Raw genomic sequence first — 14,134 nt, forward strand, 5'->3', positions numbered from 1 at the left:
AACCACTGGCCCTGGGTAGGTGGAGTCAAGGGTCCCAGGAAATAGAAACAAAGCAAAAAAGCTGAATCTGCACAGTACATAATAGGTGCTCAATAATGACTTCTTGAATTTGGAAGTGTCTAGCACCTGGATGCACTGGAGGGGGCCAGAGCTTAGAGCTGCTCTGTCCAGGAGAGGGAGGATTGCCTCAAGATGGGCCAAGCTTGGGGTCCCTCAAACCCTGGGTCTCCTGGAAGGTCTGACAGGCAAGAACTGAAAATAAAGGCTAGCCCCACCCCAGTGGATCTTGACCCTGGTGAGGGGTCTGTAGACTTAAAAGGGGGAATCTTCGTTTCTCCTCTCTCCCTGCTCACTCAAATAGGAACGGTAGTGGCTCTGCCAGCCCCACCCCACTGGCTCTTGACCCTGGTGAGGGGTCTGTAGGCTTAATAGGGGGAAATCTCCTGTTTCTCTTCTCTCCCTGCTCACTCCTGTTCTGTCTCCCTCCCAGGCTGCCTCCTCCTGGTGGCCTTCCAGGATGACACCCATTTCAACTGGACTCTTGGAGCTTCAAGAGACGACCCAACTTTCCAAACCTTAGATGGATTCCCAAAGCCTGTGGTACCCCATTTTCTTGGTATGGACTGAAGGGGAGGGATTGCTGGGACATTTTGATAGTATGTGGGACAAAGGGACACAGGAGATGTGGGTAGCATAGACTTAAACTGCCTTCGACTTAAACCACCTGCTCCTGCACTGGGCTCCTCCACTCACTCCACAGAGTTCCGAGCTCCTGATGAAGTCTCCTCAGTCAGGAGTGGGCTCCCAACTGCCAGGGGTTCAGCCTGGGTGATTGCCGCAGGCCCCCTGCAGCCGCCCACCATCCAGACTTCAGTAAAGTCTGTTAATGATGATGGTGATGAAGGCTGTCAGAGCAGGGCAGGGCCCACAGGGTTGGGGCTAGGGTTGTGTTCTCCCTGAAGGGACGGCCATGCACAAAACCACGGCTGCACAGACAGGTCCATTCCACAGCGTGGGGGTGGCTGGGGCTTTCCCCAGATTCACCCATGGACTTCCTTCACCCCATCCCCAAACTGCACTGGGAGCAAGATCAACAGAGAAGGAGAAATCTAATACAGACATAGACGAGTCTGCAGTGAGGGGCTCGCGGGCCAGCTCAGAACAACGGGGCAGGGAGGGGAGGCCTGGGGTCTGCCTGCAAGGGCCCAGCCCACCAGTGCCGAGTGACCACCCTCCCCCCAGCCCCACCCCAGGCCCTCGGGTAGCGCCAAGGCCCAGTCTCCCACTCGGAGGCCCCGGCCCAGCCCCGGTGCCTGGGAAAGCCGCCTGTTTTGTTCCCAGATGCCACCCCCCCACACACACCCTTTTTTTTTTTTTTCCATTCATTGCAGTTCGGTCCCTTTCGAAGCCGCAGGGACCCGGGTGGCAGGGCTGAGGCGAGGGGGTGGGACTCCCTGCCCTGACAGGTAGTGCCGGCCCCCGCTTTGGGAAGCCCCTTCCCCCGCCCTCCCCTCCGTCCGCTCTCCCTGCCCCTGTCAGCCGCGCCAGACGCTCTCCGGCTTTGCAGCATTCAATAAAAATTGAGAAACATTTGGGCTGAAATCGCTGCTTTATCTGGAGGAGCCACAGCGCCGGGAGAGACCACTGCTGCGCGGGGGGAGCCCGGGGTCTCAGTGGCCCGGGCACGCGGGGTCGCCGCGCTCCAGCGCCCGCGCTGCCCCCGGGTGACCCTACGGGCGCGGTGTGGGGACCCGGGCTCGCGGCGGCGCGCGGCCGCCGGGGGCCGGGACGCGCGCGGGGGGCGGTGGCCTGGCGAGGCTCCCCCCGCGCCCGCGGCTCAGGTGGGCCGTGCCCAGCGCTGGCGGAGCCCGGGTCCCCGTTCTGCCCGGGCTGGATGGCTCATTCTGCTGGCTGCGCGGTGGCGGCGGCTGTGTGTGCGCCGCGCCTTGCCGCCCCCCCTGGCCCCCCGAGCCCGGGGCGCGCGCTCCCGCCCGGGCCGTCCGGGCCCCGCGGCGCCGCGGCCCGAGGCCCCGGGAAGCGCAGCCATGGCTCTGCGGAGGCTGGGGGCCGCGCTGCTGCTGCTGCCGCTGCTCGCCGCCGTGGAAGGTGAGCGAGCGGGCGGGCGGGCGGGCGATGGGGGCGGGGAGCGGCCGGGCACGGGCGGCCGCCGGCGCCCACCTCCGCTCCGCGGCCCGCAAAGTTTGCCCGGGGGCCGGCGCCGGGCGCAGGTGGCCGCGGGGAGGTGTGTCCGGCCGCGCCGGGAGGAGCGGGCCCCGCGGGCGCCCGGGGAGCGGCGGGCGCTGATTGACTGTGCCAGGAGGAGGCGAAGGGACCATCTTGCCGAGGCTTTGTAGCCAGCCCGGCGAGCGCCGCCCAGGGCTGGGGGCTGCCCACGCGCGCTCGCCGCCCCCGGCTCGGGCAGCCGCCTCGCGCCGGCCTGGTCTTGCTCCGCACAGGGTGGAGGGGCGCGGGCCCGGCCGTGGCGGGGGGCGGGGGGGGCGCCGGCGCTCGGTCGGGGCTGGAAAGTTTGGCAGGGAGCAGAGGGAGGGAGGCACCGCGGCCGGCCGGGGTGGGGGCTCCCGGCCCGCGCCCCCGAGATGGGGCCCGGCGCCCCGGAGAGCAGGGACTGGCAGAGTGGAAGGGAGCGCGCCAGCCCCCGCGTCGGTGCCTGCCCATCGCCCGCGGCGTACAATGGGGTCCCCTCCCCGAGAGGACTGCGCGGGGGATGGGTCTGTGGGCATCTCTCCGCCGCGCAAGGTCTCCGGGCACCCCCGCCGGCCACCGCCCCGCGGCCGCGGCGCTCAGCGTGGCGGCTGGAGCCCCGGGAACTCTCCAGCTGCCGCCGGGGCCGGACCAGATGCTCTTGCCATGTGTTGGCCTTGGCCAGGGTCGCGGGCCCTCTCCCCGTGGCCTCGTGTATTGGTACCACTCGACCCCCAGGGGGGCAAGGGTAGTTGCTAGGTCTCCCGAGCCAGCTTGCTCTGGAGGGAAAGTTAGTGCGGTCTGGGTGTGTCCACCAGGAATGGCCGAGCTTGCAGGGCAAGAAGCGAACGTGAATAATGGTTCTCACGTGTACTGCACTTTACAGTTTTCAAACCACTTTACAGTTTATGAAGTACTTCGCACTATACGCAGCTCTCTGTGGTTTACAACGTGCTGCACAGTTGACAAGGTACTTTAAGCTTTACAAAGTGCTTTCCCGCCCACCAGCGTGTTGGATCCCTCAAAATACACCTTCCGGGGAAGACAGGTAGGTATGATTCCTACTTCTCTTGAACAGATAGGGAAACCGAGGTTCTGAAAAGTCCGATGTCTCACCCAGGGCCGTTGGGTGACAAAAATAGAACCCAGGTCTGTGGTCTTTCTTTGAAACCAGCACTCACTTAGCTGGGTTTTGTTGCCCCTAAACTGCGTGAGCCCTTCCAGGGTTCTGCTCCCTTGGGCTTAGGGATGATGTCTGTGTGCACCTCTCAGGCCACTTTAGGGTTGTGGGGCGCCCCTTCCCTTCTTGCAGCCTAAGAAAAAACGCATATCAGACCAGACGTGGGGGCTGCGGCCTCTGGGAAAGGCGTCGTGGGGGACCCTGTGCTACAACTTCAGTTTCTCTTTCGGTAATGAGCACTTTAGTGACCGCAGTCAGGGGGTGGGGGGTGTCCCTGGATGGCAGCCACAGTTTCTGGCACTGAGGCAGCTGTCCTTCGGCTCCTGGGGGATTTGGCGGCTGACTGCGGTTTCCCGGAGTGGGGCCACTGGGGCACCTAGGGTGCCACGGGCCCTGGGTGTGGAGGGCAGCCCTGGGGCCTGGCTGCTGGCGGGAGCTCTGTGGAATATGGCTGAGGTACCACTTATTAACTCTGGCTTTGGGGAAATGACTCATGCGTTGGCCCGCTATACATTGGGATGTTTACAGTATTATGGGGAGCTTGGCATAAATATTGCTATTTAGGTTGCAGTCAGCGGTGCTGGAGGGGAAGAAAATTGGCCCCTCTCTCGTTGGAAGAGGCCTGGGTGTGTTTTTAATTACTCTGGGGTAGATGGAAGGGCCACATCTGTCCAGCCATCGCCCTGGCAGAGGCTGGTTGGAATCTGGTGGGCTGTGGCCAGCCTGGACCCTGGCCCTGGACACAGGGCTGGTGGGCGCTGACGTCACAGGAGGGTATGGCTACTTGGACTGCCACTTGGGGGCAGGGTGGGGAAGGGAAGCCACAGCAGGGTGGGAGGAGGGCTGCAGCAGGCACCCCAATGCTTGCCTCAGGCTCTTGTTCCGTTTGCCCCCTGGACACTAGGAAGTTAGTCCATCAGTGGTTAATAAGGAGCTGGCCGAATGGATGGGGAGATGGTGTGAGGTGGAGGTCAGAGGGCCTGCTTCTCATTTACTATGGGACCCTGGGCCAGGTCCCTTCCCTGTGGGGGCCTCAGTTTCTCTGGGTGTAAAATGGCCTGGCTAAATATCTTGTAGAGTCCATCGTCTACGCCCTACTTCCCCTCTTTGAGCCTCGTTTTCCTCCCCCGTCTAGTGAGAGTGATGACAGCGCCTGTCCTGCCTGTCTCCTGGGGTGTTTGTGAGGATCAGACCAGATGATGGGTGGGAGAAGTCCCCCTTCAAAGCCAGGGATGGACGGTGCTGCCTGTGCACATTTGGGGGGCGGTGCTGCCTGTGCACATTTGGGAGACACCAGGGTCCTCCTGAGGGTGACACAGTCTGTGGAGACAGGACTGGGCCGTGGAGCAGTAGGAGGGTGGCCCCTCTGGCTCCCAGAACCCAGAGCCACATGGCTACCACTTCCTTCCCTTCCTCCTTCCTTGTCTCCTCAGCCCGTAAAGGGCTGTCCTGCCGGTTAAGTCCCCAGGAAATCCCCAGCTCCAGCCTTCGGAATGGGGGAGAGGAGAGTGTGTGTGTATACGGGGGGTTTCTAGGTTAGGACGGTAAGCTTAGCATCTCCCCCAAACTGTGAGACCGCCCCCCGACCAAGTGAAAGAAAGCATGGAGCATGTGAAGTGGCGGCGAGCAGGATGGAAGAGCACTGGGGAAACGTCCAACAGGACAGGAGGCCGGTGGCAGACCCTGTCCATCCCTGGCCGATGGAATCCAAAGGTCAAGGTCTCAAGAAAACAGCCTCCTTACATCTGCTCCTTTGCTCTCCAAATATCGATAGAGTTTCCTCTCTGGCTGACAGGGTGCTGGACTCCGGGGCAGGCAAGGAGACGGGACAAGCTGACAGGGAAAAGAGTGGGCGAGACAGAGCATGATACGGGGTCCAACGTACTTCCCAGAGGAGGCTGTGAACCCCCCGGGGCGGCAGGTGCACTTGAGGACAGAACAGGGTTATTTCATCTTTTATGCTGTTATGCATTGCCTCATTTTCTCACCACCCATTTTCCCTGCTATGAAACTTTCTTAGCCACCTGTCATGCTAACGAACTGTGTTCTCAAGAGTTAAAGAGGTTGACTTTAGAACTTATAGGATGTGGAGAATTTTACCTAAAAAAGGAAATAGCATGTCTATATGTCCATAGAAAGACATGGAGGCAGGATGATCAGGTGCTTACTTTGATGTGTCTGAGGAGGGTGGGTGTTGAGGGCAGCAGTGGGGGTTGAGACTGAGAATGGGAGTGGGGTGGTCAGGTCCTGAAGGGCTAGAATGGAAGGCTGGGGAGTTTGGATCAAATGCTGAGGGCAGCAGGGAGCCCTTGAAGGTTCTTGAGCTATCAAGGGACCTGGCCAGATTCATGCTTGGAAAGATCACTGACTTGCAATGTGTGGTGACGTTCAGATGAGCCAGATCTGGTCCTGGACAGTCACAGTAAAGCCAGCTTGTCGGTTCCCGGCTAGACTGTGAGCTCCCTGAAGACAGAGACCCATCTGGCTCATCTTTGTGTCCACAGTTCTGGTCTGAAGAGCTCTGTTCAAATTCCACCTCCCCAGAGGCCTTCCCTGATTCTCTCTTCTAAAACAGACCCAGTTCTGCTTCTTTCCATCCCACCTGCTTTGTTGTGCTTCATGAAACCCATCGCCACCTGAAGAAGCATCAAAGACTTGTTTGGCATCTGCCTTGCCCACTAGACTGTAAACTCCAGGACTTCATCTGCCATGTTTGCTGTGACATCTCCAGTGCCTAGAACTGTGCCCAGCCATGCGGGTGCTCAGTAACGGAATGACATTGTCAGCTGAGGAACATGGAATGAATTGAATGTTGAGTGAATGAACAGATGAATATATGATACTGTGTTATGTGATAAGTATTGGGAGAATGATATGGAGATGGAGGGAAGTCCATCTGGCAGAGGAAATCAAGGAGGTCTTCCTGGAGGGAGATACCAAGGGGATGGCTTGAGTAGAGATGCAAGAAAGTGCTGGGGATAACGAATAGACCAGTTCAGAGGGAGCAGAGCATTCAGATGGGCCAGCAGCCACTGTGTGCTAGGTAGACAAGTCCACTTCTGATGGGGGGTGGGGGAAGCCTGCCTCCCTCCCTCCCCCAGCTCAACTCTCCCACCCCAACCTCTACCCTACTGGGCCCACCTCTGGGGCATTACCTGTCTAAGACCCAGCGACCTTCCATGGGATTAATTTGGAATTGGTTTTCCTTTTATGTCTGTTTCTTTTGCTTCTCATTTTTAAAGGAGGCTGCTTTCATGTATTTGTCTTAGCCAGGAAATCAGGGCTTAGATTTAAAACCTAAATGTTGTAGAATCAGAAAGCCAGTTGACTTATTCACTCATTCATTTCTCCATCCATCCATATATTTTTAAAGAGTCACCAGGCACCTAGTTCATGTCAGGGGCTGGTTGGGAGAAGGGATTCTGCCTGTGGTGGGGAACGGGGCCAGCTGACTTCACAGGCAGTGTGTGGTAGAGAAAATGCATAGCCTTCAGGCGCAAACAGACGTGAGTTCAAATCCCAGCTGTGTGCTCTGGGGCGAGGAGCGCAGACTCCCTGCACTTCAGTTTCCCCCTGGGTTCCTGTGTCAGACACTCATTAAATGCTGTGGACATTAAATGCTGGTCTCAACCCCTCTAAGGTCCTTCCCTCAATGATGGCGACGTGGCCCCCTTTTTGGCATTTAATTTGTCCAGGCACCAGATCAGCCTTCAGTGTCTCCCCTAACCCACCCCACAAGCTCCCAACTTCCCCCAGACTCGGGATGGTAACCCCCCAAGTGTGGACAGACTCAGACTCCATCCCTGCCTCTTTCTCCAGAGCCCCATCAGGGGAAAATACTCAGATTCCTAGTCCAGAGGGACTGTCATCTGGGGTCCCTAAGCCTCCTAAGTCCTGGGGATCTTTGTTCACCCTGAAATTGTCATAGAACATTGGATGGGCCCCCTCCCTCCTGTGGGATTGTCCTAGGCCCTACTTCCTCAAGGCTCTTCATCAGCGCCAAAGTGGGGACAGGTTCTTTTTTTTTTTCGAGATGGAGTCTCACTTTGTCACCCAGGCTGGAGCACAGTGGTGCCATCTCGGTTCACTGTAACCTCCGCCTCCCGGGTTCAAGCCATCTTCCCACCTCAGCCTCCGGAGTAGCTGGGACTACAGGCATGTGCCACTACACCCGGCTAATTTTTTTGCATTTTTAGTGGAGACGGGGCGGGGGTTCACCATGTTGACCAGGCTGGTCTCGAACTCCTGACCTCAAGTGACCCACCCACCTTGACCTCCCAAAGTGCTGGGATTACAGGCCTGAGCCACTGTGCCCTGCCTGGGACAGATTCTATGGGCCAGTTTGCTGGGCATTCAGCCCGTGGTAGCCTCTGGTCAACTCTGCCTGCCCAGAGCTCACCTGTGAGTTTAGACTGGAGACTGGACCTCTGCACATAGAAAGGCCCCTAACAGGAAGGGGCAGATGGAGCCTGCTGGTGACAGGATGCCTGGGCTGGGCAAGGCAGGGGACCCATGCTCCCACTGAGGGTGGCGGAGATGCAGAGCACGGTGGGCCTCCTGACGGGAGGATCTTCCACACCTCCGACCAAGGACCCGTCTCCTGACCTGGCACCTGCATGCCTGACTTAGCTGGAGATCTGGGAGATGGGGAACAAGGTTGGGGAGTCTGTATTTTTAACATACTCTCCAGGTCTTTCCATTAGGCAGGCAAATTTGCCCCCCAGCGGCCTATGATAAAACACAGGACTCCTGGGAAAGAGGAAGAGAAACCTCAGCAGGAAACTGGAAAAGACTGAAATGAAGTGAAATCAATCAGAGTTAGCGCCCACCAGCCCTGGCTGCCGCTGGCTCGTGCATAAAAAGAGGGTTAGCTGGGGGAAGGCAGGGAAGGAAAGAATGTTTGCACAGCTCCCAGGGGTGGGGCAGCAGGCCAGGCAGTTGTTGATTGTGGCAGCACCTGGAGGCTCCCTGATTGGGATCAGCTCAGGCCTTCTGATAAGGCTGCCTTGAAAGCATTTTAGGGCCTTTTAAAGCAGCTGCCTTCCGGAGGGTGCAGGAGGGGGACACCTGTCTCCCCAGTACCCCCGTGTCATCTGGGGGCTTGCCTAGGACACCCTCACTAGGTGAGCTTCCTGGAGCCATCTGCCCCCCTGCTGCAGCCCCTGTGGGGTGGGAGTGTCCTCAGAAGAGGGGACCTTGCCTGCTGTGTGGCCTTGACCAAGTGATCCACTCTCTGAGCCTCAGCTTCCTCATCTGGAAACTGGAGAATACCGCGCATGTGTCAGAGGCTCATGGCGAGGATTCAGTGAGATGCTGTGTACCATGACTGGCAGAACTGCCTGGCACTCAGCTGTGTCCATTCTTTATTAGTTTCCGTAACCATTAAATGTCAGCAGCACCCTCGTGCCCCTGGCCAGAATGACTTGTCCCTTTCTCTGAAGTCCTACAGAGGCTTTGCTTAGCCCTGATCACTTTCTCTCCTGTTCTATAAACAGCAGAGCCTGGGGGTTACAGGAAATGTGTGTGGAGTCAGACTGCTCCGTACTGTGTGTCCTCTGGCTTGTGTTTTCACCTCTCTGAGCCTTGGTTTCCTCATCTTTCAAATGGGGGTAATCATTGTTCCTAGCTCTTGAGATGGTTGTGAGCAATGGATGTGTTAATCTGAGGAAGACTAAGCTGAGTGTGTGCCTCAGGTGTGCTAAGCTTGCAATAAATGTGAACGGTTGCTATCCTTGCTTTCTACCAATGGGAAGCTCAATTCACAGTAGGGGAACAGGGGGCCAGTGTACCAGGTTTTTCATCTCCAGCTCTCCCCCACCCACTGTGTTCTGAGCCTTACAGGGCAAGGGTCTGACTGGCTTGCCAAGTAGCTGAGAGGCCCCTCCAGCCTGCCCACTCAGGGTACCATCCAGGTTTTCTCAAAGGCCCCCTCCCCACTCCAATTCAGCCTCCCTAATCTGGGAAAGGGGTAGACTCCTTCATGGCTGTACCCTCCTTCTTTGCCCAGTGCCTGCCAGGCACCACCTTCCCTGCCATGATCATGGGAATGGCTGTCAATTCTTTTTTTTTTTTTTTTTTTTTTTGAGACAGAGTATTGCTCTTGTTGCCCAGGCTGGACTGCAGTGGTGCAATCTCGGCTCACTGCAACCTCTGCCTCCCGGGTTCAAGAGATTTTCCTGCCTCAGCCTCCCTGAGTAGCTGGGATTACAGATGCCTGCCACCATGCCCGGCTAATTTTTTGTATATTTTAGTAGAGATGGGGTTTCACTATGTTGGTCAGGCTGGTCTCGAACTCTGACCTCAGGCGATCCACCTGCCTCGGCCTCCCAAAGTGCTGGGATTACAGGTGTGAGCCACCGCGCCCAGCAGCTGTCAATTCTTGTGCCAGACATTGTACTAACAGCATTATGTGTGTTGCCTTGTGCAGTTGCCCCAAGAGCCCCACAGGTCGTTGTATTATTGTGCCCATTTTACAGATGAGAAAACCAAAGCTCTGAGAGGAGTGACTGGCCCAAGGACACCTAGGGAGTGGTGAGGCAGCGATTGAAACCCAAGTCTGGTGACTCCAGAGCTCATGCTCTTCTCCACTTCTAGAATGTGCCTCCCTGCTCAGAGGAAAGGCTTGGCTCTGATGAGGGTCTCTAAGGCAGCTGTCCAGCTTCCAGCTCCATCAACATCCTGAGATAATGCAATGGGAGGGTTCTACAACTCACAAACCTGCCATAAAAATGCAATCTCTGTGATAATGGTCAGAATAATGTTGTTCTAACTTAGACAAATCGGGTGTTAACTCATTATGTTGTAAGGGGCGCCTCCACAGAGAATGGAGACTACGAAACAGTCACAGGGCCATTTGCAGCTTGTACTTCCAAATACAATAGCTCATCAGGCCTTCACAGCCATCCTGAAAGGGGCAGGAGCCACGGGGCCCACTTTAGAGATGAGGAAACTGAGGTCTGGGAGATAATATGACTCGCCCAAAGCCAGCAGCGGGACCAAGCTTGAAGCCCAGGGCCAATCTTAATAGCTCATCTATCCAGTTCAAATTCTTAGCCAACATTTGAAAATCAAGAGATTTTACAGAAAAGTCCTGTTTCTGGCGTTTCTGAAAAGTCAGACAATCTGGTTTCACAGGGCCCACATTCCCACATGGCCACAGTTGGCTGGAGTGACTGCCTCTTAAGACAGAATGTGTGAGCACCAGGGGTACCTCTCTACTGACTTGCAACATACATTTGTCTTGGTGTGTTGCAAGTCGGTGGAGACGTACCCTTGGTGCTCAACCCCTGTAAGGGCTTGAGTTTGCCTCCTGGATCTGCCCCTGTTACCCTGTGTGACCTGGAGTCAATTGCATGGCTTCCCGAGCCTCAGCTCTCTCTTCTATAAAATGACAGGGGTGAGACTCAGTGATTTTGGAGGCCTCTTCCAGCTCCAGGATTCAGTGCCCATTGCCAGGGTTCAGGGGTTCAGGCAAGGGAAGGGAGAGCTACAAAAAGTACAGGACTCCACTCCTGAAAAGCATATCACTTATCTTTAGCAAGCCACCACAAAACCTACTGGCTTAAAACAATAATGATTTCTTAGTTGTCCTGATTCAGTGGATTGGCTGGGCTCAGCTGGGTGCTTATTCTGTTCCCCGGGTTGTCAGTTGGGATCACTCAGGAGGCTGCACTCAGCTAGGTTGGGCTGGAAATTCCATCGTGGCTTCACATACATCTTTGAGGCCCTCATAGAGAAGGCTGGAAGGCTGGTCCCCCTACGCTCCTCGCTATCTCCCATCCTTTGCTAGTCTAGACTGCGCCTCTATCCATGGCAATTAGCTCCCAAGATGGTGAAATGGAAACTGCAAGGCTTCTTAAGGGCTGGGCTCTAATGTCACAAAGTGTCACCCCTGCAGCCTTCTGTGGTGGTCAAAGCCAGTCACAACACCAGCTCAGATTCATCCCAGGCTTCCTCATCAGGTTCAAGGAAAAGGAAAATATACTGGGCTTGATTTTTTTGTTTTATCCTTGAAGAGAAGTCCCATTTCTTGCTCAGCTGTTCAGCATGGAAAATTTAATGGTGGGTTATCCAGCGTCCCACTCAACATGTCCTGACCCACTGAATCAGGTGACACTCAGAGTTCAGTGCCCGCCCCTGCACCCTGTTGTTGTCCATGTTTCTTGGGCCAACCTGTGGTCCAAACTTGAATCTAGACGCCCCCTTACTGGGAGGAGTGGCTTCGTGTTTAGTAGGGGGAGGAATTGTTGGCAGCCATATTTGGAGACAGCCTCTCACAGGTAGTTTATCGTCCAGTCCAGGGATGGCGGTGGGGAGGCAACAGGAAGCCAGAAATCTCATTCCCCCCCCCCCCCGCCCCAGCACTTACCCCCGAATTGTCTTCAGTGTTATCTGCCTCTTCTGAGAAGGCAGGGACTTTCCACTTCACTATGTACAGCACAAGGCTTGGCTCATGATAGATATTAGATAGATGTTTGTGCAATAAACGAACCTAAAATTCATGAAAAATGGCAGCCTGGAGTTGTAGATATTCAAGACCTAGTATGAGGTGTGAGGCCAGAGAAAGGGGCCTTGGGCTGGTGGGATTGAACTGAAAAGATGGGTCCCTGGTGCTCCTGTGGCCTGGGGCAGGTCACTTCACCCCTCTAGGCCTCATTTTCCTTATCAGCGAACTGGGCATCATAATTTCAGGCACTACAGAAGGCTGTGCCGAGGAGTAACTGTGTTCTTCATTCTACTATGAAAGACCGGGTAAGGGGGTGACTGGTTGTCACTCCCACCTTGGCCAGAGGTCATCGCAGGAGTGGGGAAGCATTAGAGGAAAAGAAAAAATTCTAAAGGCATGGGCCAGTTATTGTCAAATTAAGTTTGGACCACAGGCTGGCCCCAGAGCACATGGAAATGTGTACAAACAGTGAAGTGAGTGGGTGGGACCACTGAGCTCTGAGCGTTGCTTCCAAAGACAGTTGAGGGGGACCTGGGCAACACATAGTCAAAGTTGACGCATTAAACCATTGAGCAAGAAATTGGCCTTCTGTTTGCTGGCAGACCAGGAAATCTGGCCTAACGTAATACCGGGAATAAATCACAAGAGTCTTGATCAGAGACTCCAGACTTGTGAGCTGGCCTGCGTTGTGAATGAGTGAGGTGACTTGACTGTTGGAAGTATAATAGTGCCCCCAGTAAGAGCGCATGTCCAGTCTAAAAAAGGCAGGTGCTACCCACTCCTGACCATGTTGTCACACAGGAATCTGTGTCCGGTTTTGCCACATCTTCTGATTTGCAAAGTTCTTTTTTTTCCTCTCTCTTTTTTCTTAGACAGGGTCTCACTCTGTCTCATAGGCTGGAGTGCAGTGACGCAATCGCAGCTCACTTAGCCTTGACCTCCTGGGCTCAAGCAATTCTCTCACCTCAGCCTCCCAAGTAGCTGGATCCATAGGCACCTGCCACCGCATCCAGCATTTTTTTTTTTTTTGTAGAGACAGAGTCTTTCACCATGTTGCCCAGGCTGGTCTTGAACTTGTGAACTCAAGCAGTCCTCCTTCTTCAGCCTCCCAAAGTGCTGGGATTACAGACATAAGCCATTGCGCCCAGCCTGATTTGCAAAGTTCTGATGCTTATGGGAAAACTGGTTTTTGTTTTGTTTTGTTTTGAGTCTCGCTCTGTTGCCTAAGCTGGAGTGCGGTGACACTATCTTGGCTCACTGCAACCTCTGCCTCCCAGGTTCAAGCAATTCTTGGGCCTCAGCCTCCTGAGTAGCTGGAACTACAATCATGTGCCACCACGCCTGGCTAATTTTTGTATTTTGAGTAAAGACAGGCACCTACCACCATGCCCAGCATTTTTTTTTTCTTTTTGGTAGAGACGGAGTCTTGCCATGTTGGCCAGGCTGGTCTCAAACTCCTGGCCTCAAGTGATCCACCTGCCTCAGCTTCCCAAATTGTTGGGATTACAGACGTGAGCCACCATGCCTGGTCTGAAAACTGGTTTTTGAATGTTTACTCATTTTATTCTAAAATACAGTTCTGGCCAAACCAAACCATGTTTGCTGGCTGGATTTGGCTCACTGGCTGGCAGTTTACAACCTTAGGTATTTGGGGTAAAGAAATAGCAAGGGTATTGTTAGCACCATTGTACAAATGGGGAAGTTGAGGTTCAATGACTTACTCAAGGTTACATAGCTGTTAGGCACTGGGAGGTGTTAAAACATGGCTCCTCACCTTGAAATGGGGAGTCTCTTTCCCTGTAACTTCCCTGCATGATCCCTGTTTTCCACGCTCCAGAACAATCCAGGAACGTAAGAGCCATCTTGCAGGCATCTGCCATGTTTGAAGGCAGAAAGCATGTCTTCCCTAGGTTTCTTCTTGAGGGAGGTAGAGTTGGCAGAATGAATGAAAAGCAGCGTGGTCTTAGACTAGAACCATGCTACGTTGGACCTCTGGCTCTGACACTTAACAGTGTTACCTTGGCCCTCTTAGCTCTTTGAGCCTCAGCTTCTTGAACTATACAATGAGGTTAGACAAGGCGTCCTGGAAGAGGCGACTTCTAAGATGATTCTTAAGGAAGAGCCAGGTGAAGAAGCAGCAAGGCAGCCATTCCAGGCAACAGGAACAGCATCTGCAAAGATCCGGATAGGAGGCCCGTGAGTGTGTGATGTATTTGGGGAGCTGGAAGGAGTCCTGTGTGACTGAGAATGGGGCATGCCAAGCACTGGGGCGGGGTGCAAGCTGCCTGGCCCCAGCAGGGAGAGAG

General features: G+C 55.2%; 1 protein-coding gene and 1 non-coding gene across 7 annotated transcripts in view, besides 3 other annotated features; both read left to right on the forward strand.

Moving 5' to 3' along the window:
* Positions 589–874: a silencer, noted in NCBI's record as "fragment chr1:23036019-23036304 (GRCh37/hg19 assembly coordinates)". NCBI's record gives its function as "represses an EF-1alpha promoter that drives an FKBP-Casp9 reporter gene in an ReSE screen in phorbol 12-myristate 13-acetate-treated (for megakaryocytic differentiation) K562 erythroleukemia cells {active_cell/tissue: K562(+PMA)}" and the evidence as "EXISTENCE:reporter gene assay evidence [ECO:0000049][PMID:32094911]".
* Positions 1,901–14,134, forward strand: part of EPHB2 (EPH receptor B2) — a 210,663-nt gene continuing 198,429 nt past the window's right edge. For 3 of the 6 annotated variants that reach the window (NM_004442.7, XM_006710442.5, XM_047449104.1), the window contains 1 exon segment: positions 1,901–2,106. In NM_004442.7, the coding sequence (NP_004433.2) occupies positions 2,046–2,106 (61 nt within the window). In that variant the 5' untranslated portion in view covers positions 1,901–2,045. 6 annotated transcript variants of the gene reach the window in all.
* Positions 3,096–3,195: an enhancer, noted in NCBI's record as "active region_353". NCBI's record gives its function as "activates an Ori minimal core promoter by ATAC-STARR-seq in GM12878 lymphoblastoid cells {active_cell/tissue: GM12878}" and the evidence as "EXISTENCE:reporter gene assay evidence [ECO:0000049][PMID:35858748]".
* Positions 8,227–8,916: an enhancer, noted in NCBI's record as "H3K4me1 hESC enhancer chr1:23043657-23044346 (GRCh37/hg19 assembly coordinates)". NCBI's record gives its function as "activates a minimal SCP1, AML or CMV promoter by ChIP-STARR-seq in naive and primed H9 embryonic stem cells {active_cell/tissue: H9 hESC(naive and primed)}" and the evidence as "EXISTENCE:reporter gene assay evidence [ECO:0000049][PMID:30033119]".
* On the forward strand, positions 10,580–10,661 carry MIR4684 (microRNA 4684). Its single transcript, NR_039832.1, has one exon. It is a non-coding gene; the product is annotated as a microRNA 4684 (primary transcript).

The sequence above is a fragment of the Homo sapiens genome, chromosome 1 (genome assembly GCF_000001405.40).
Source record: "Homo sapiens chromosome 1, GRCh38.p14 Primary Assembly".
Lineage (NCBI taxonomy): Eukaryota > Metazoa > Chordata > Mammalia > Primates > Hominidae > Homo > Homo sapiens.